Here is a 20,423-nt window from a genome sequence, read left to right on the forward strand (position 1 = left end):
TTAAGAAAGTAAGGATTTAACTCTTATGGTACAAAGCATGGCATAAACTGGAAAGTGTTCTGTTCAATCAGAAGAGGCAGATCCCCTCCTCCTCTTGTTTCTGAATTCTTTCATGCTGATGAACTAACACATCTTCTGGAAAAATCATTCAACATGGCTATTTTTAAATGTTCTCAGAAAAGAATCTTTCTGGGGAATGGACATAGGCGTGGGACGTCTGGCAACAAAACATGCTTGGTCTCTGCTTTGGAGGAGACCCCAGACAACAGGTATGCCCCTCCCAACCTTTCTCAACCATGACCCCGGTCCCTCGCAAGAGTAAGCTTTACCAGTCTTGTCCAAAGCAGGCTACACATGGATAAGCTCAGGTTACAGCTGGTGGGTGGGGATTAATTTTTGCTACCCAGTTCTGGTATGCTCAATAAAAGTTCTGGACATCCATACATCTGTTTCAGTTTCCCCCGGTGCCTATTCTGCCTGGAAGGTGTAGGCATGGAGATGAGGCCCTTCCCCCATTTCCCCATAGAGACTCTCATTATTCTGTCCTAAAACCAAATCTGTTCAGTTGAGGTTTTGATATCTGCCAACATCAGATGGCCCTATCCTCCACGGCACCCCTAAACTGTTAGCTTTTCAGTGAGGCTATTATCAAAGCTGTCTGGACCACTTAGGGTCATAGCTCTGCAACTCCTCTGTTGCCAGATATCAGTTTTCTTGGTCTTCTATTGCAATGTGCCAGCTCCACTATCCCTCCCCATTCTGAATCTTACACTTTGATCATCTGGATACACCCACTGGGCTCTTCCTTTAGCCGGGTGCTTTCCCAGTACCTTGTCCCAACTTCTTCCCTTTACCTCCTGGCTGGCTGCCTCAAGACTGGTTGAGGTTATTACAGTGCACCTAAGGGTAATAGAAATTCAAGAAAATGCAAGTACACTGTGAGACTGACCTCTGACCTTGCACATGTGGATCTCAGTTGCATCACTTTAATTTCCCTGCCTTTTCTTCTTCAAGGAGCCCAAGACCAAAAATATTAAAAAGAGAGAAAGGAAGTATACTAGTCAGGATTCTCCAAAGAAACAGACCAATAGGATATACAATTGACCCTTGAAAAAAGTGGGGGCTGGAGTTATCGACCCCTCCACAGTCGAAAATCCACATATAACTTTTGACTCTCCAAAAATTTAACTACGAATAGTCTACTGTTGACCAGAAGCCTTACTGATAACATAAACAATCAATTAACACATATTTTGTATGTTACATGTATTATTTACTGAATTCTTACAATAAAGATAGCTAGAGAAAAGAAAATGTTATTTTAAAAATCATGAGGAGGCCGGGTGCCATGGCTCACGCCTGTAATCCCAGCACTTTGGGAGGCCGAGGCAGGCAGATCATGAGGTCAGGAGATCGAGACCATCCTGGCTAACACGGTGAAACCTCGTCTCTACTAAAAATACAAAAAATTAGCCGGGCGAGGTGGCAGGCGCCTGCAGTCCCAGCTACTCAGGAGGCTGGGGCAGGAGAATGGTGTAACCCGGGAGCTGGAGCTTGCAGTGAGCTGAGATCGCACCACTGCACTCCAGCCTGGGCGACAGAGCAAGACTCCATCTCAAAAAAAAAAAAAAATCATGAGGAAGATAAAATATATTTACTATTCATTAAGCGGAACTGGATCATCATAAAGGTCTTCATCCTCGGCCGAGCGCAGTGGCTCACGCCTGTAATCCCAGCACTTTGGGAGGCCAAGGCAGGTAGATCACGAGGTCAGGAGTTCAAGACCAAGCCTGGCCAAGATGGTGAAACCCCGTCTCTACTAAAAATACAAAAAATTAGTCATGCATGGTGGTGGGTGCCTGTAATCCCAGCTACTCAGGAGGCTGAGGCAGGAGAATCGCTTGAACCCAGGAGGTGGAGGTTGCAGTGAGCCAAGATTGCACCACTGCACTCCAGCCTGGGTGACAGAGTGAGACTCTGTCTCAAAAAAAAAAAGAAAAGAATAAAAAGGTCTTCATCCTCATCTTCATGTTGAGTAGGCTGAGGAGGAAGAAGAGGGATTGGTCTTGTTGCTCCAGGGGTGCAGAGGCAGAAGAAAATCCACTTATAAGTGGATCCATCAGTTCAAACCTTTGTTGCTCAAAGATCAACTGTACACAGATACATAGCAAGAGATTTATTATGAGGGATAAGCTTACGTGATTATGGAGGCTGAAAAGTCCCGTGATCTACAATCTACAAGCTGGAGGCCCAGGAAAGCCAGTGGTGTAGTTCCAGTCCAGCCCCAAAGGCCCAACAACCAGGAGCACTGATGTCTGAGGGCAGGAGAAGACAGGTGTCCCACCTCAAGCGGATTGCAAATTAGCCCTTCCTCCACCTTTTTGTTCTATTTGGGTTCTCAACAGATTGGATGATGCCCACCCACACTGATGACGGTGATCTTTTTTACTGTGTTTCCTGATTCAAATTCCACTCTCTTCCAGAAGCACCATCACAGAAATACCCAGAAATAACATTAACCAGCTATATGAGCATGCCCTAGCCCAGTCAAGTTGACACATAAAATTAATCGTCACAAGAAGGAAGTGACGGGGAGGGGAGGGGAGGGGAGGGGAGGGGAGGGGAGGGAAGGGAAAGGGTCCTCACTAGTGACGTAGGAATTGTCTAAATATTCCTAATGACCTTTCAACTTGAACTTAGTTCTTGTTTTCACTCATCAGAATCACATCAGGAGGGAGGAAATGATGGGATGGGAGGGAGAAATCTACCTCTGGTGTTTGAAATTTCATAATAACCCATCATACTCTACAACAGACTTCAACCAGCTAGCAATATCTCTACACGTTTTTCTTTTAACACTAAGTTTCCGATAAAAGAAACTTGCATTTAGTTGAGTTCTGCCTATACTCAGATTCCTTTCTCAGGAGCCAGGGTTGAAGGCCCAGCAGGCAACTTTTCCAAGGAGAGAAATAGCAAATGAAGTTAACTGACATTAATGAAAGTAAATATTTTATCAATGAAAAAATAATTCTCCCACCTATGATGAAAACTATTTTTTTTAGACTGATGGATAAAAATTCTAAATCATTTCATATACATTGGCTGCATTCTAATGTCTGCTTATGAAAAACAACAATGCTCGGCGGGGCACAGTGGCTCACGCCTGTAATCCCAGCACTTTGGGAGGCCGAGGCGGGCAGATCACCAGGTCAGGAGATCGAGACCATCCTGGCTAACACAGTGAAACCCCGTCTCTACTAAAAATACAAACAATTAGCCGGGTGCGGTGGTGGGCGCCTGTAGTCCCAGCTACTCGGGAGGCTGAGGCAGGAGAATGGCGTGAACCCGGGAGGCGGAGCTTACAGTGAGCTGAGATCGCGCCACTGCACTCCAGCTTGGGGCCAGAGTGAGACACCATTTCAAAAAAAAAAAAAGAAAAACAACAATGCTCTATACATTATATGAATTACATTTCTCTCTTTTTATAATTAATTTTTTATACAACAAATGTACATTTATTGTCTAAAAATTCTAACAGTACAGAGGTATACAGGGTACAAAAGTCAAAATCTCGGTTCATCTCTCCTCAGGCCCGATAGGGTTGAGACTCACCACAATATACTTTTTTTTTTCTGAAAACATGTCACGTTCATAAGCACATCATACTTTCTATGGGAAGCAATGATTAGCTGTTCACAGTGGACCCCTCCAGACTTTTTCTATATATCTGTATCTATTTACACATATAGGTGCTATAAATCTTTTATGTTTTTATTACATATGTTGGATTGTATTAAACATATTGTTCTGAAACTTGCTTAATATTAAGTCAGAAACATCTTCTGTGTCAATACATCCAGCACTGCCTGACTCTCCTTTGCAGATGTAGAGTTATCACTGAACCATAAGTGTTTGGTAGCTGTTTTTAGTTTTCACAGTTCGGCTATTTTCAGATTTTCTTTAATGCCGACTCTGCTGTAATAAATATCCATGTGCATTATACATATGTTGCTGAATCAATGCGTGTGAGCGTTACTGTTGTATTTTATTTTTATTTTTATTTTTACTTTTATTTTATTTAAACAGCATCTTACTCTGTCACCCAGGCTGGAGTGCAGTAACACAGCTCACTGCAGCCTTGACTTCCCAAGCTCAAGCGATCCTCCCACCTCAGCCTCCTGAATAACTGGGACCTGAATAGGCATACACTACCATGCCAGGCTAATTTTTTCTATTTTTTGTAGAGACGAGGTCTTGCTATGTTGCCCAGACTGGCCTTGAACTCCTGGCCTCAAGCAATCCTCCCACCATGGCCTCCCAAAGCACTGAGATTACAGGCGTGAGCAACCACATCCAGCCTGAGCATTACTGTTTTGAGAGATATTCCCAAAGTGCTCTCCACAAAGGGTTACAACAACGAACACTTCCATCAGCTGAATGTGAGATTATATTTTTACTTTATTTTGGAGAATGAAGGTAGCATATTATTATTGTATTTATTCGTATTTCCCTAGTTGTGAGATTAAATAATTTTCAGATGTTTCTCAGCCATTTATATTTCTTTTTCTGTAAATTGCCTTAAGTTTGCCCTTTTCTTTTGACTTACTTTTTCTTGCAATTTGAATCCCTTTAAATATTATGGTTCTCATATGGTTCTGTGAAAACACTTCCTCTCTCTGCTATTTGACACGTAGCTTTAATTATGCATCATTCATTAAATGGAAGTTTTTAAAATAGTTATGAGGACAGATCTGTCCATCTTTTCTTCATGGTTTTTGTGGTTTCAGACTTTTTTGAAAGGCCATCTTTACCCCCAAGTTCGTTTAAAAAATAAAAAAAAACAGGCCGGGCACGATGGCTCACGCCTGTAATCCCAGCACTTTGGGAGGCAGAGGCGGGCGGATCACCTGAGGTCGGGAGTTCAAGACCAGCCTGACCAACATGGAGAAACCCAGCTCTACCAAAAATACAAAATTAGCCAGGCGTGTTGGCGCGTGCCTGTAATCCCAGCTCAGCTACTCGGGAGGCTGAGGAAGGAGAATCGCTTGAACCTGGGAGGCGGAGGTTGCGGTGAGCCAAGATCGCGCCATTGCACTCCAGCCTGGGCAACAAGAGTGAAACTCCATCTCAAAAAACAAACAAACGAAACAAAACAAACAAAAAAACAAACAAACAAAAACACTTCTCCTATACTACCTTCTAGTGCCTTCATGGAAAGTTTTTAACGTTTGAAATTTTTTTTTTTTTTTTTTGGAGACAGAGTCTCGTTCTGTCACCCAGGCTAGAGTGTGGTGGCGTGACCTCAGCTCACTGCAACCTCTGCCTCCCGGGTTCAAGCGATTCTCCTGCCTCAGCCTCCCAAGTAGCTGAGATTACAGGTGTCTGCTGCCACACTTGGCTAATTTTTTTGTATTTTTAGTAAAGATGGGGTTTCACCACATTGGCCAGTCTGGTCTTGAACCCCTGACCTCAGGTGATCTGCCCGTCTCAGCCTCCCAAAGTACTGGGATTACAGAATATTTGAATTTCTAATTCATTTGGAATATGCTTCTGAAAACAATATGAAACAAAAATCCCTAACATGATGATGGTGGAATCCCTGTCCTGCTCCCATCTTCAATAGAAATCTTCTGATGTTTCATCATTATATCTACAGTGGCTTCTGCCCTTATCAAAGCTTGTTAATAGTTTCTTTTCAAATAAAGAATGTACGTTGAATTCTATTGAGTGCTTTTTCAACATCTAATGAGATCATCATTTGAGCTCTTTCAATTTATTAACATGTGAATTGCATTATTGGATTTCCTAATGTCCAAATTTTATTGTTTCTCTAAAAGTTATATTTCTCAATTTTTCGATGTGTCTCAAATTTCTGATACGAAAGAAATGATATTTTTCAGTATGAACCATCTTCTAAAAAGCAAAAACGAAATGACATTTTTATTCTGCATTATTTAGGAAGATTTAAAAATGAAAATCTAATTATTCTGCTTTTTCAATATCCAAAGCCATGTAAGTAACACAGAAGAATATGTTTTTGTTTTGTTTCTTTCTAGAAAATAAGTACGCAAATTGGTATTGTAGCATATGGCCCCGGCATTAAATTTACTTTTTTTGAGACTCTTGTTTCCATGATGCTTTTCATTTGCATTCAGTTGTAGGTTATCTTGTAATGCAGAACGCATTTCTTAAGTGGCTCTCAATGTGCCAGGTTCTGGGCTTGCTTAGCAAGAGTCACAAAATTTGTTACAGCCAATCAATCCTCAGTCCGCTGAAGCAACAGAGAATCATCAGGGTCTCATATTTCTATCTATAAGCAGAAAGATGCCATGTTTATGCTAACCTCATTCACAGAAGGCACAATGTCAAATGTTTTAACAGCAGCCACAATTTGTGTTCATGAGTATGGAGTCATCTTTGTATCTTCCATGTGTACTACCATGTAGAGTTGTGTGATTAATAAGTTATTTTCAAATAATGCTGATGGTGAAGAAGGTGTTAAAGAATAACGAGAACTGGCAGCCACAAGAACCATTACACAAATTAATGTATGACTGTATATGTACATAAGGTCATCTAAACCATCTTTGTATTCTCACTAGTGACGTAGGAATTGTTTCGAAATAGTCCCAATGACCTTTCAACCTGAACTTAGTTCTTGTTTTAACTCATCAGGATCACATCAGGTTTTTTTCTGTCAAGTATTCAAATAACATGAACTGGTATGTTTCAATCTGTCAGTAACTGATTATGAAACTTCCTATATTTGCTGAAAATATATCCTAATAATTTGTATTAATACATAATTTATTAAACAAACCATTTTTTCAGGCCTAGTTATTTGTGAAAACTTTTTGTAACCTTTCAAGAAATATAAATCAAAAAAGAATAGTCTCGCATAAAGACCTTTTCTATAAGCCAATTGGTCTTGAACTCCTAGCCTCAGTGATCCTCCAGCCTCAGCCTCCTGAAGTGCTGAGATTATAGGCGTGAGCCACCACACCCAGACCCTCTATAAGCCAATTGGAAATTAAATGAACAATAATATTAAAATGATACTAAACCACATGTTCTCACAAGTGGGAGCTAAAGAATGGGTACTAATGGACATAAAGATGGCAACCATAGACACTGGGGACTACTGGAGGGAGGAGGGAGGTGGGGGCAAGGGTTGAATAACTACTGGGTACCATGCTCAGCACCTAAGTGACAGGATCAGTCCTACCCCAAACCTCAGCATCACACAACATACCCAGGTAACAAATCTGCACATGTACCACCTGAATCTAAAATAAAAGTTGAAATTATTTAAATATAAAAAATAAAGTTGCTTTTAAAGAGTTTTTTTAATAAAATAAAAAGGTGTTGAAGTAAATGAAATAGGGAATTACATTTGTTTTAAGTTATTTCACTTCCCAGGTATATTGCTAACTTCCTAGTTTTTCTTTTGTTTTTCTGTTTTTTATTTTATTTGTCTCTTTTAACACCTTTGCTGGTAGGAAGCTAGTTCTTTAATAAGTATTTGTTACAATGGTGATGAGTAAAATGGAAGAATCTGCGTCTTTGAAAGCCAGCATACACTCTTTTTTCAAAAGCAGACATTAAAGTTAAGACATGGTATGTGATCCTGAGCTATGGATTCTCTGAAAAAACAGAACGTGTTGAGGGTTGTTTTACTTTTTGTAATTTTTTTTTTACAGAGCCTGTGAAATCAGTTGTTGAGAGATTTTGAAATAAGTTCAAAACCAAAGTGTAGAAAAAAATCATTGAGAAAAAAAGAGAGAAAATAATTGAGGAATCATTACTAAAGGCAACTTTCATCTAAAAAAATGAGAACATTTGCTTGCAATGCAAAATCAGGTTTCAGCTGAAAAGTAAAGCCTGTTAAAACATTAACTACCACAGCAAAAATCTCAAATATTTTTTCAGCAATTCTAATTAAAGTATGCATCTTTTCAAAGTTTCTTCTACTGTTTTCTTTCCCTAAAAAGGAAGACGAAGAACGAGTCTCCGCTATCTGAATAAGATATTAATGGGTTTCCAAAAAAATTATAACCAGAGACAATAAGAACAAAAGTTCCTCATTTTTACTTCTCTTTTCAAATAATCTTTTCTCTATAATTATCTTTTCCAATTAGCAAACAATAGAGAGAAAATGGTATAGGTAAATTGTTTAAATTCCCAACTTTCAAAGTACCTGCCTTTAAAATGGGTGCTGGCCAGGAATGGTGGCTCATGCCTGTAATCCCAACACACTGGGAGGCCGAGTCGGAAGGATCATTTGAGGTCAGGAGTTCAAGACCATCCTGGCCAACATGGTGAAACCCCATCTCTACTAAAAGTACAAAAATTAGCCAGGCATGGTGGCAGGCACCTGTAATCCCAGCTACTTGGGAGGCTGAGGCAAGAGAATCACTCGAACCCAGGAGGCAGAGGTTGCAGTAAGCTGAGATCTCGCCACTGCACTCCAGCCTGGGCAACAGAGCGAGACTCCATCTCAAAGTAAAATAAAATATATAAAATAAAATAAAATAGGTGCCTTTCTTCCCCCTACGCCTATATAATTGCAGAAGCTTTTGATTTGTTTCAAATTGGTTCTTTTTTTTTTTTTTTTTTTTTTTTGAGACAGAGTCTTGCTCTGTTCCCCGGGCCATAATGCAGTGGCACAGTCTTGGCTCACTGCAACCTCCACCTCCTGGGTTCAAACAATTCTCCTGCCTCAGCGTCCCAAGTAGCTGGGACTACAGGCATGTGCCACCATGCCTGGCTAATTTTTGTATTTTTAGTAGAGACAGGGTTTCACCATGATGGCCAGGCTCGTCTCAAACTCCTGATCTCAAATGATCCACCTGCCTCAGCCTCCCAAAGTGCTGGGATTACAGGCGTGAGCCACCACGCCTAATCTAAATTGGTTCTTTAAAAACTAGAAAAAGTGCACACTTGTTGAAAGAAAATTTTAATACAAATGTACCTGTATAAAATATGAATGTCCTTCTCTCCCCCGCATCAGTTTCCAGATGAATTCTTACTCATCTTAGCAGTTTTTGTGTTAAGGATCCTTCCAGATCCTTTCCTGAGCAGATATAAATAGTTTTTCATGTGACTATAAACATATGCTTATTTTATATATCGTTCTACAACTCTTTTTTTTTTTTTTTTTTTTTGAGATGGAGCCTCGCTCTGTCGCCCAGGCTGGAGTGCAATGGCATGATCTTGGTTGACTGCAACCTCTGCCTCCCAGGTTCAAGCAATTCTCCTGCCTCGGCCTCCTGAGTAGCTGGGACTACAGGCGCCCACCACCATGCCCACCTAATTTTTGTATTTTTAGTAGAGATGGGGTTTCACCATATTGGCCAGGCTGGTCTCGAACTTCTGACCTTGTGATCTGCCCACCTCGGCCTCCCAGCGTGCTGGGATTACAGGCATGAGCCACCGTGCCCAGCCTACAACTCTTTTTTAATATGCCAAATTGACACAGCTGGAAAGACCTGGTACTGAGACATGACTCCCAGTCTATCTGACTCTAGAACCTACTTTGTTTCCAGTACACAAAAATGCCATGTCAATTTGGGAAGACCAGTTCAGTATTGTATAGTTATACGTCCGTTGAATTCTTGATTCAATCAAGACATTCCTCTTCAGGGATTTCTGACTATTCAACAACCAGGAAATAAATAGTGGCACATTGACTAGATCATCTACTGACTGAAAATTATGAAAACTATGTTGCAACATGAAAAAGTAAAAAAATGGTATCTTCTGGTGATTTTTTTCCAAAACAAGAGAATTTTGCACCAAACCTAAATTTATATCTTCAGTTCCTATTAAAAAAAAAAAAAAAAAAAAAAAAAAAAAAAAAAAAACACCAACTAGTTTAAATGGTAAATCCCCCCCTTTACAAAAAAAACATAAAGTCCTGTCTCCCTGGGCAGAGATAATAAAAGCCCTCTGTAAACTCTAAAGTCACCATACAACCATTAATTATTGTTTTCCTACAGACAATGGGAAACGTTAAGGGTTTGACTAGCATCCCCAAAAAAATATGTTTGACACCCCAAAAAATATATTGACACCCTGTGAATGTGATCTTATTTGGAAATTAAATCTTTGCAGATGTAATCAAGTTAACATGAGACCATTAGGATGGGCTTTAATCCAATATAACTGGTGTCTTTTTTTTTTTTTTTTTTTTGAGACGGAGTCTCACTCTGTTGCCCAGGCTGGAGTGCAGTGGTGTGATCTCAGCTCACTACAAACTCTGCCGCCACCCAAGTTCAAGCGATTCTCCTGCCTCAGCTTCCTGAGTAGCTGGGACTACAAGCACCTTCCACTTCTCCTGGCTAATTTTTGTAGTTTTAGTAGAGACGGGGTTTCACTATCTTGGCCAGGCTGGTCTTGAACTCCTGACCTTGTGATCCACCCGCCTCAGCCTCCCAAAGTGCTGGGATTACAGGTGTAAGCCACTGCACCTGACCTAACTGGTGTCATTATAAGAAGAGAGTAACTTGGACAGAGAGACACTCAGGGAGAAGAATACCAGGTGAACACACACACACAAAGGGAAAGCTGAGGTGTGAAGGTGGTTTGCTGCCACAAGCCAAGCATCACCTGAGGCTGGAAGAGGTGAAAGAGGCAGGGAAAGATTCTCCCCGGGAGACTTCGGAGGAAGCATGGCTTTGCCAACACCTTGATTTTGGGCTTCCAGCCTCTAGAACTGTAAGAGAATAACTCTGTTGTTTGAAGCCACCCAATGTGTGGGATTTTATCATGGCAGCCCTAGGAAACTAATATAGAAATAATTGAAGATTTTTAAGATTGGGGGTGAGAGGACTAACATTTGCTGGGAACCTATGATGTTCCAGGCTCTTTGCTAGATGCTTTACTTATTTTATTTAATTCTAATAATCATGAGAAGAAAGCATTTTACAGATGAGAAAATTGAAGGTTGGAAGTTGATATGTTGTTGGGGAGGCCAAGGCAGGAGAATCGCTTGAGGCTAGGACTTCAAGATGAGCCTGGGCAATATAGCAAGACCCCATATCTACAAAAAAATTAAAAATTGGCCTGGCGTGGTGGTGTGTGCCTGTAATCCCAGACACTTGGGAACCTGAGGCAGGAGGATCGCTTGAGCCCAAGAGTCGGAAGCTGTAGTAAGCTATGATGGTGCCACAGAGCAAGACCACAGAGCAAGACCTTGTCTCAAAAAAAATAATAAAGTTGATATGCTGATGTTTCCTCAGCTGGAAAAAGCTGAGGCCATGGCTTTGCTTCTAAAGCCAACCATGTTTCCAAGGGCACAGCATTCGTTTGAGAAGACTGATTCAGCAGAATTGTGTATAATGATGTTAAGCCTCAGTTACCACACAACCTTTAATCAGGTGAACCAGACCTTCATGGTTTCCCTGAAAGATACATCAACGTTTCTTTTTTTTTTTTTTTTCTTTTTGAGACAGGGTCTTGCTTTGTCACCCAGGCTGAGGTGCAGTGGCAAGATCATAGCTCATTGCAGCCCCAAGCTCCTGGTCTCAGGAGATTATCCTGACTCAACTTCTCAAGTAGCAGAGACTACGGTTATGTGCTACCATGTCTATATATATATATATTTTTTAATTTGTGTAGAGACAGGGTCTTGCTATGTTGCCCAGGCTGGTCTCAAACTCCGGGCCTCAAGCAATCCTCCCACCTCAGCCTGCCAAAGTACTGGGATTACAGGTACGAGCCACCACACTTGGCCTCCATTTCTGGTCTACCAAATATGTTTGCTTATAGTACTGACTTTTATAATTTGCCAACTAGCAGTCAAACTCTATGCCTTTAATCAAAAGTTAACTGTATTGCTGAGATTGTGAATAAATAACCACATCTATTACTGATCGACCTTCATATTGAATGGTGTACTGGGGTGAATGATTCTTTCTTCAGCAAAAACCAATCACAGACAATATCCTAGTATGTACATCAATTTTCGGTTTTAAAAAGTTTGCTTCAACCTTCACTTCCTAAGTCTTCAGTGACTGAGAGCTGGTAGATGATAAAGCTGGTTTCCAGGATATGAAAGCTCAGTCAGCTATTAGTTTTAAAGTCCATATGGTGTGTAGTTAAGAATTCTACAGTCAGACTGGCTGGGTTCTGATGTGCACAAAGACACATGCTGGGCAACAGTGAGCTGGATTTCAGGCCCCATTTTCCCGTCAGCTTGCATCCTTGAGCAGGGCACAACTTGCACAGCCCTGCGTGGCAGCCCCACAGGTAGGTTTCCACCTCTCCTGACTGTGGGTGGTAGTTACTGTTCTCCATGCCATGCCAACTGATCAAAACATCATACAGGTAAAAAGGAAGCAAAGCAATCTGTGAGTTTAAAACATTTAGTATATTTGATACTCATGAGATTGCAAATGAAATCATGAATCCTTCCAAAAAGGAAGTAGAAATTGTAGGTATTTCCCAATCACCATAGTTTCCCTTAGGTGGGGCCACTTTGGGAGAAAATGAAAGGACTGCAGCTGTGTGATATTGAGATTTTAGTCCTCATGGCCCCCCACAAACTTATCTAATTCAGCTCAGCAAGCAGTAGTTGGAACATGACACCCTGGATGTGATTCGGGATATGTGTCTCCAGGAGGACTAATTAGCAGCTCGTAGAGAATAAGCTGTTCTCTGGTGCCCCATTAATTACAGTGCTCCTGGCAATTCAGGCGGGCCCACATGAATGCGTCCTGCACAAAAAGGTCACATCCTGGTGTTGCTAGTCAGATCGGTGCACGATCTTATTGCTGTTCATGGTTATTTCCCTGATAATCGCTCCCCAGAGGTCAGTCTGGCTACAACCTAGCATATTTGAGCACAGTGATTTGCAAGATGTATGGAAAACAATTTTTCAGAAACGTGCTCTCAATTTTCATTGGGCAAATTCCTCTTTCTCGGGTAAGTGCTGGAGCATATGGAGCAGGTAAATGTTTTAATGGACAGCATAAAAGTAACATTTTTCTTCTGAGGTTGATGATTTGCACTTAGGGCTTCCAATCCCATTTGTTACTATAGCAAGTGTTGAGTGCAAATTAAAGAGAGACAGAAAAACTCCAAACCTTCAACCTTGCTATCTCCTTAGCTCAGTCATGACTGCATCATTTCACAGATTCATATCACCTCCCTCTAGGGTTCCCATCCTCCGGGAGGAAACTTTTATTGAATTTCTCTACCCCAGGTTTTAGTCTCCTATCTGTCTCGTGTTATATACAAGGAACTCATTCCTTTCTAAGATTTAATACAATAAGATGAAAATGGCTAAGGGCAGTCTTTCTAGTCTCTGGGAGGAAAGATTAATGGTAAACACAAACACCTAATAAAAAGTTAAGGGAAAAAAATGTAGTGCAAGTAAACATTACCCATGTGAATGTATACAGTGCCTCGTTGTTCTTACAATCATAACAATTGCAACCATTATTAATGTTCTTCTTCTATGACATGAAAGAACAATAATAAGGGTCTTGGCATCAGCCATCTAGCAATTCAAAGTTAGAATAACAGCAATATGATTCATTTCGTAAACCAAAAATAAAATTCTAAGCCCCCCAGCTGGCTGAATGGACCCTTCCTCTCAGCCAAAGGGATTCTACAGAAAGCTGAAAAACTAATTCAGGCTATGGTGGGAAGCGGGAGGCGGACATACCTCATTATACTCTCCTACCTTTGGAATTCAGGCACAACTGACCAGCATTAACATTAAAATAGAGATTTTAGGCTGGGTGTGGTGGCTCACGCCTGTAATCCCAGCACTTTGGTAGGCCGAGGCAGGCGGATCACGAGGTCAAGACATCCAGACCATCCTGGCCAACATGATGAAACCCTGTCTATTAAAAATACAAAAATTAGCTGGGCGTGGTGGCACACGCCTGTAGTCCCAGCTACTCAGGAGGCTGAGGCAGGAGAATCGCTTGACCCCGGGAGGTGGAGGTTGCAGTGAGCCAAGATTGTGCCACTGCACTCCAGCCTGGCGACAGAGTGAGACTCTGTCTCAAAAGAAAAAAAAAAAAAAAAAACAGAAGAGATCTTAAGACTGACGCAGTTCACTCATATAACCTGCATATGTACCCCCTGAACCTAAAATAAAAGTTGGAAATAAATAAATTGTTAAAACTCTGCCATTAATAAACAGACTCTGTAGCAATAAGATACCAAATTCCAACGTGCCTCTCGTATAGCATTGTATGACAGATACTAGGCCCTGAGAGAAATCAAAGTATTTTGCCCCAAAATATATTTCTTTGACATATTTTGAAATAGCCCTGCATAGTCCTCTCTTGTGGGGAAAATGTATATTCGGTAGAGAATTCCCTTCCCTTTCCAGGTCTTCCTCTGATCCAAAAGAGATTCAACTAAGAGTCTGGCACTTTTTAAGGTATGATGAGAGACATTTACCATCTATTCTCTCTGCAGCCTGCTACCTGGAGGCTTCATCTACATAACAAGAATGTTGGCCACCTGGTGGCTCACATCTGTAATCCCAGCACTTTGGGAAGCTGAGGCGGGAGGATCACTTGAGCCCGGGGTTCGAAACCAGCTTAGGCAACATAGTGAGACTCTGTCTCTATCAAAAAAAAAAAAAAAAAAAAAGAATCTTGGCTTCCACAACCTCTCTTATCTTAACTCCAAACATTTATCTCTGTTGATTTCAACTCTTTAGGCAAAACTTAACTCTTTCAACCAATTGTCAATCAGGAAATCTTTGAATCCACCTATGACCTGGAAGCCACGCCCAGCGCCCCCCCCCCCGCCCCTACCTCACCCCCGCCCGCCCCAAGGTGTCTCACCTTTCTGGGCTGAACCAATGTAAACCTGACATGTATTGATTTATGTCTCTGGCTGTAACATCTGTCTTCCTAAAATGTATAGAATTACACTGTAACCCAACCACTCTGGGCACATGTTCTCATGACCTCCTGGGACTGTGTCACACAGGTCATGGTCCTCACCTTTAGCTCAGAATAAATCTCTTCAAATATTTTACAGAATTTGGCTTCTTTTTTTTTTTTTTTTTTTTTTTTGGCCAACAATTTATTCACTCAGTCACATCCATTTATTAAGTATCTACCATGTTTCTACCATGTTTTACCTGCTTACTTTTTTTTTTTTTTTTTTTTTTTTTTTTTGAGGCGATATCTCACTTTGTCACCCAGGCTGGAGTGCAGAGGCACTATCTTGGCTCACTGCAACCTCTGCCTCCCAGGTTCAAGCCATTCTCCTGCCTCAGCCTCCTGAGTAGCTGGGATTACAGGTGCCCGCCACCACCCCCAGCTGATTTTTGCATTTTTAGTAGAGATGGAGTTTCACCATGTTGGCCAGGCTGGTCTTGAACTCCTGACCTCAGGTGATCCGCCCACCTCGGTCTCCCAAAGTGCTGGGATTGAGGCCTCCTGCCCGCTTTTTTATATCTCCAAGTGTAACCCATTATACTACTCATATATGGATTATGTGGCCTTCCTATATTCTCTCTTAACACTGTCTATATATCTTTAGCAAAGCATTTATTACTTTCTATTGCAAAAATCCAATTCCATGTGTGTCTTCTAAGTTGACAGTGGACTAGGAGGGAGGAAAGCACCAACAGATCCTTTTCTCCTTTGACTATTCAGCACCTGGCCCAGGTGTTGAGTAAATGAAAGACAGTATGTGTCAAATAAAATAATAAGACTTCACATAATAGCAAAATAAACTCTATTCTCCTAAGGCCTACTCTGAGAGTGAACAGGAAAGATTGGGCACTTGTGAGGAGTTAACAAGTGAACAAACACATTCTCTAACAATGAAATAACAGAGGGCTCTTTAAAATCTACTCTTAGATTTTTTTTTAAGCATTGGAAGGAATGGTAGAGATCATCTGGAGGACTCCACCCAATACTCTGCCCTTTTCTACAGGTAGAAAAATGGAGGTTATAAAATCTCAGCTGGGCAGGGCAGGGTGGCTCATGCCTGTAATCCCAGCACTTTGGGAGGCTGAGGTGTGTGGATTATATGAGGTCAGGAGTTCGAGATCAGCCTGACCAACATGGTGAAACCCTGTCTCTACTAAAAATACAAAATTAGCTGGGTGTGATGGTGCATGCCTGTAATCCCAGCTACTCGGGAGGCTGAGGCAGGAGAATCGCTTGAACCCAGGAGGCAGAGTTTGCAGTGAGCTGAGATCGCATCATTGCACTCCAGCCTGGGCAACAAAAGCAAAATTCTGTCTCAAAAAAATAAATAAAATAAAGACAAAATCTCAGCTGGGCACAGTGGCTCACACCTGTAATCCCAGCACATTGGGAGGCCGAGGCAGGCAGATCACTTGAGGTCAGGAGTTCAAAACCGGCTGGCCAACATGGTGAAAGCCTGTCTCTACTGAAAATACAAAAAATCAGCGCAGCGTGGTGGTGGGCACCTATAATCCCAGCTACTTGGGAGCCTGAGGCCGGAGAATCGCTTGAACCCGGGAGGCAGAAGTTGCAGTGAGCCGAGATCGTGCCACTGCACTCCAGCCGGAGCGACAGAACAAGACTCCATCTCAAAGAGAAAAAGAAAAAGAAATCTGCTTAAAATCCTACGCGTGGTTGGTGACTGAGACATAATTAGAGTCCTAGTTATTGGATACTGTGCCCCTCCCACTCCACATGTGTTGAAAAACAGAGCTGACCAACTGTGCAAGACGGACCCTTCGAGCACTAACTTCTGCTTTCACAAATGCAACTCTCCATTTAAAAATGCAAATCAGAGAAGAAACATCTCATGAGTTCTGCTTCCCTCCCCTCCTCAGTTTGTCATTTATTTGACCTGGTCACATCCGCTTCAGGACCTTTGCATCCTCTCCTCCCCAGTGCAAACATCACATCCCCAGGAAGCCCTTTCTTTATTATTCTCTCTCACACATACCCCGGGCCAAATCAGATTCCCCTCTCTATACCAGCAGGACACCCTGTATTTCTCCTTCATGGGATTTATCACAGCTTGAAGTAACATATTTTTGAGATTGTTTAATTAACATCTGTCTAATATATCCTCCATCAGATTAAGAGTTCATAAATTATGTCTCTAGAGATAAGGGGTATTCTAAAAGCACATCATACCAACCTGGGGGTAGAAATGGGATTGGTGTATTAATATCAAAACTATCCCTTTGAATCTACCCCACCTGCTGCTGTGGGTCCTTCGAACACAATTCCAGACCCCCACCCATCCAGGGTTCTAGGAGTCCCAGCGTATGCCTCCCATGGGCAAACCTGAGCCCTCTCAGCTCTCTAAGACATCTCACATTTCCTCCCTCTGGGGTGCGGCTCCCTGCAGCAATGAGCTGCTGAGGCCTCTGTGCGCTTAAAAGCCACCTTTGTGTTGTCAGATATGGTATCTGGGTTCCAATCACAGAGATTTTAATCAAATAGTTCTTTTGGTTTTTACTCCCAGTCCCTGCTTCCTAGAGCTCAAGACTGGGGTTGGCAAAAAAGAAAAAAAAAGAACTCCCCATCCAATCCTGAAGCAAAGGCTTGGATTATGCTTGGGTGCCTTGACGCCCTTTAATCTTGAGACAAATTCTTTTCCAGAAGCCTTCTTGGTGGCTCATCTAAATAATCCCCAGTACAGCCTACCAAATGAGTCTTCCAGTGACCCCAGGTCCGTGTGCATTAAAGTGAAACAGAAGCCAGGGCATGATAGTGAGACCCCCTCTCTATGAAAGAAAATTTTAACAAGTTAGCTGGGTGTGGTCACATGAGCCCGTATTCCCAGCTACTCAGGAGGCTGAGGCAGAAGGATTGCTTGAGCCCAGGAGTTCAGGTTTGCTATGATGGTGTCAGTGGTGTTCAAACCAGAGCAACTCCGTCTTGAGTGAGGACTAGGAAAATGAGGCTGGGACTTGCTGGGCTGCATTCCCAGAAAGTTAGGTATTCCTAGCCTCTAGGTATTTACAGTTAAGGGAACAGATTGATAACATTTACTAAACAGACCCAGACTTGAGAGTGTCCTGATATCTTGATATCTTCAGAACAAAGGCATTCCGAATTTTGCTTTATTTATTTTATGTTATTTTAATTTTTTTTTTGAGACGGAGTCTCATTCTGTCGCCCAGGCTGGAGTGCAGTGGCATGATCTCAGCTCACTGCAAGCTCTGCTCCTGGGTTCAAGCTATTTTCCTGCCTCAGCCTCCCGAGTAGCTGGGATTACAGGCAGGCACCACCACGCCCGGCTAATTTTTTGTATTTTTAGTAGAGACAGGTTTCACCATGTTGGTCAGGCTGATCTCGATCTCTTGACCTCGTGATCCACCTGCCTCGGCCCCCAAAGTGCTGGGATTACAGGCGTGAGCCACCATGCCTGGCCCAAATTTTGCTTTAAAGATAATGTTGATTCTTGCAAAATATAGTAATTAAGAAAATTAATCCTTTATCACAAACCCTTATATCAGAGCACGTCTCCCCATGATCTTTTTTTATCATATATATATATGAGTATTTTACCTGAGGTGGACGTTTTCCTCCCCTTACTTTAGGGAACGCCCTACTTTGCCTACAGAGTAGCTGTTCTCTCACCACTTTACTTTCTTAGTAAACTTGCTTTTTCTTTGCACTGCAGACTTGCCTTGAGTTATTTCTTGCATGAGATCCATGAACCCTCTCTTGGGGTCTGGATCGGGACCCCTTTCTGGTAACAATGCTGCCACCGCACTCCAGCCTGGGTGACAGCAAGACCCTGTCTCTGAAAAGATTAAAAATAAACATAACAAAAATAAAATATGAAGGGGAACAGAACTCAGTCTGAAGTTTGGACCATTGCTAAATTCAGAGAAAACAGCAGAATGTCAGTGCCTATAGTAATAGAGGAATAGCAAGGTCAAGCCTTTATCCTGGCTCAGAGGAGAAGAGAACCTCCTCTTGCACCCATTCATTCAACAGCTATACTTAAGAGCAAGGTTTTCTGGAAATGGCCTATGCACTGTCACTGAAAATCCCAGCCAAGGTCACTTCATGACTTGCAAATCTTGGCAGAGTCATCAGGAATATGCCCAGGCATATTCATAGCTCCCTGCAGCCTCGACCTCCTGGGTTCAAGCGATCCTCCTGCCCCAGCCTCTCAAGTATCTGGGATTACAGGTATGAGCCACCATGCCTGGCCCCCAATTTTTTAGATGAGGAAATTATTATTATTATCCCCAGTTTACAAAGAGGAAACAGGCATCGAGGACTTAATAATTTGTTGCAAGTCACATATCCTGGAGGTGCAGCCAGGTGATTTCAGAGTGTGTGATCTTAAAACGCTAGGCTAGGCTGTCTCCCCATTTACAGAGGTATGAACCTGGACTACTGTCCATGTGTTCTTCCCACAGCAACATGCCAAGGTAGAAAGAGGACTGGACTAGGTTCAATTGATCTGGGTTCTAATCCTAATGTTTTCTCTGTGCATTTTTGAGCAAATTAATCACTCTAGGACTCACCTTCCTTATTTGTAAACTAAATTCATCACTCTAGAACTCACTTTCCTTATTTGTAAACTAACACCAACTAACATAGGTTGATTTTGGTGCTGAAATTCTATGATGTACATGATATCAGAATAAGTAACATAAGCAAATCAGTGGAGAAAATTTGGCCATAGACACTCTTTCTCATCAAAGAGACCATTTAAAACTTTAAGGCAGTTTGTTAACATTTCCCTAAGCTAGAAACTTAATTTTTTTTGTTTGTTTTTTGAGATGGAGTCTTGCTTGGTCACCCAGGTCAGAGTGCAGTGGCATGATCTCGGCTCACTGCAAACTCCACCTTCCGGGTTGAAGTGATTCTCCTGCCTCAGCCTCCTAAGTAGCTGGGATTACAGGCGGGCACCACCATAGCTGGCTAATTTTTGCATTTTTAGTAGAGACGGGGTTTCACCATGTTGGCCAGGGTGGTCTCAAACTCCTGACCTCATGATCCACCCGCCTCGGCCTCCCAAAATGCTGGGATTACAGGCATGAGCCACCACACCTGGCCAAAATTTACTTTAAAACTCATATTTTGCCATCCTAGAGAATGCAATTAATATATTAATTTTTCCATTTAAAATTTTTATTTATTACACACATAGATAGATGATAGCCAGATAGATAGATGATAGATAGATAGAGAGATAGATAGACAGATAAAGAGATATAGATAGAGATAGAAATTTTCAAAACAGAGTCTTGCTCTGTTGCCCAGGCTGTAGTGCAGTAGAATGATCATGGTTCACTGCACCCTTGAATTCCTGGGCTCGAGTGATCCTCCTTCCTTGGCCTCCTCCTTCCTTGGCCTCCCAAAGTGCTAGGATTACAGGCATGAGCCACTATACCTGGCCTTTAATACATAAATATGTTAATTGAGAATTTACGTGCCATCCAAGTGAAAGTGACAGTTCAGCATATATAACATGTAGATTTTGTCAGG

The 20,423-nt window shown here is 41.9% G+C and overlaps 1 long non-coding RNA gene across 1 annotated transcript in view, besides 1 other annotated feature; it reads right to left on the bottom strand.

Moving 5' to 3' along the window:
• The window catches only part of LOC105377448 (uncharacterized), a 192,690-nt gene that overhangs the window by 140,988 nt on the left and 31,279 nt on the right, over nt 1-20,423 (bottom strand). The window lies entirely within an intron of this gene.
• Nucleotides 16,281-17,102: an enhancer, noted in NCBI's record as "H3K27ac-H3K4me1 hESC enhancer chr4:139898379-139899200 (GRCh37/hg19 assembly coordinates)". NCBI's record gives its function as "activates a minimal SCP1, AML or CMV promoter by ChIP-STARR-seq in naive H9 embryonic stem cells {active_cell/tissue: H9 hESC(naive)}" and the evidence as "EXISTENCE:reporter gene assay evidence [ECO:0000049][PMID:30033119]".

This window comes from Homo sapiens, chromosome 4 (assembly GCF_000001405.40).
Source record: "Homo sapiens chromosome 4, GRCh38.p14 Primary Assembly".
NCBI lineage: Eukaryota > Metazoa > Chordata > Mammalia > Primates > Hominidae > Homo > Homo sapiens.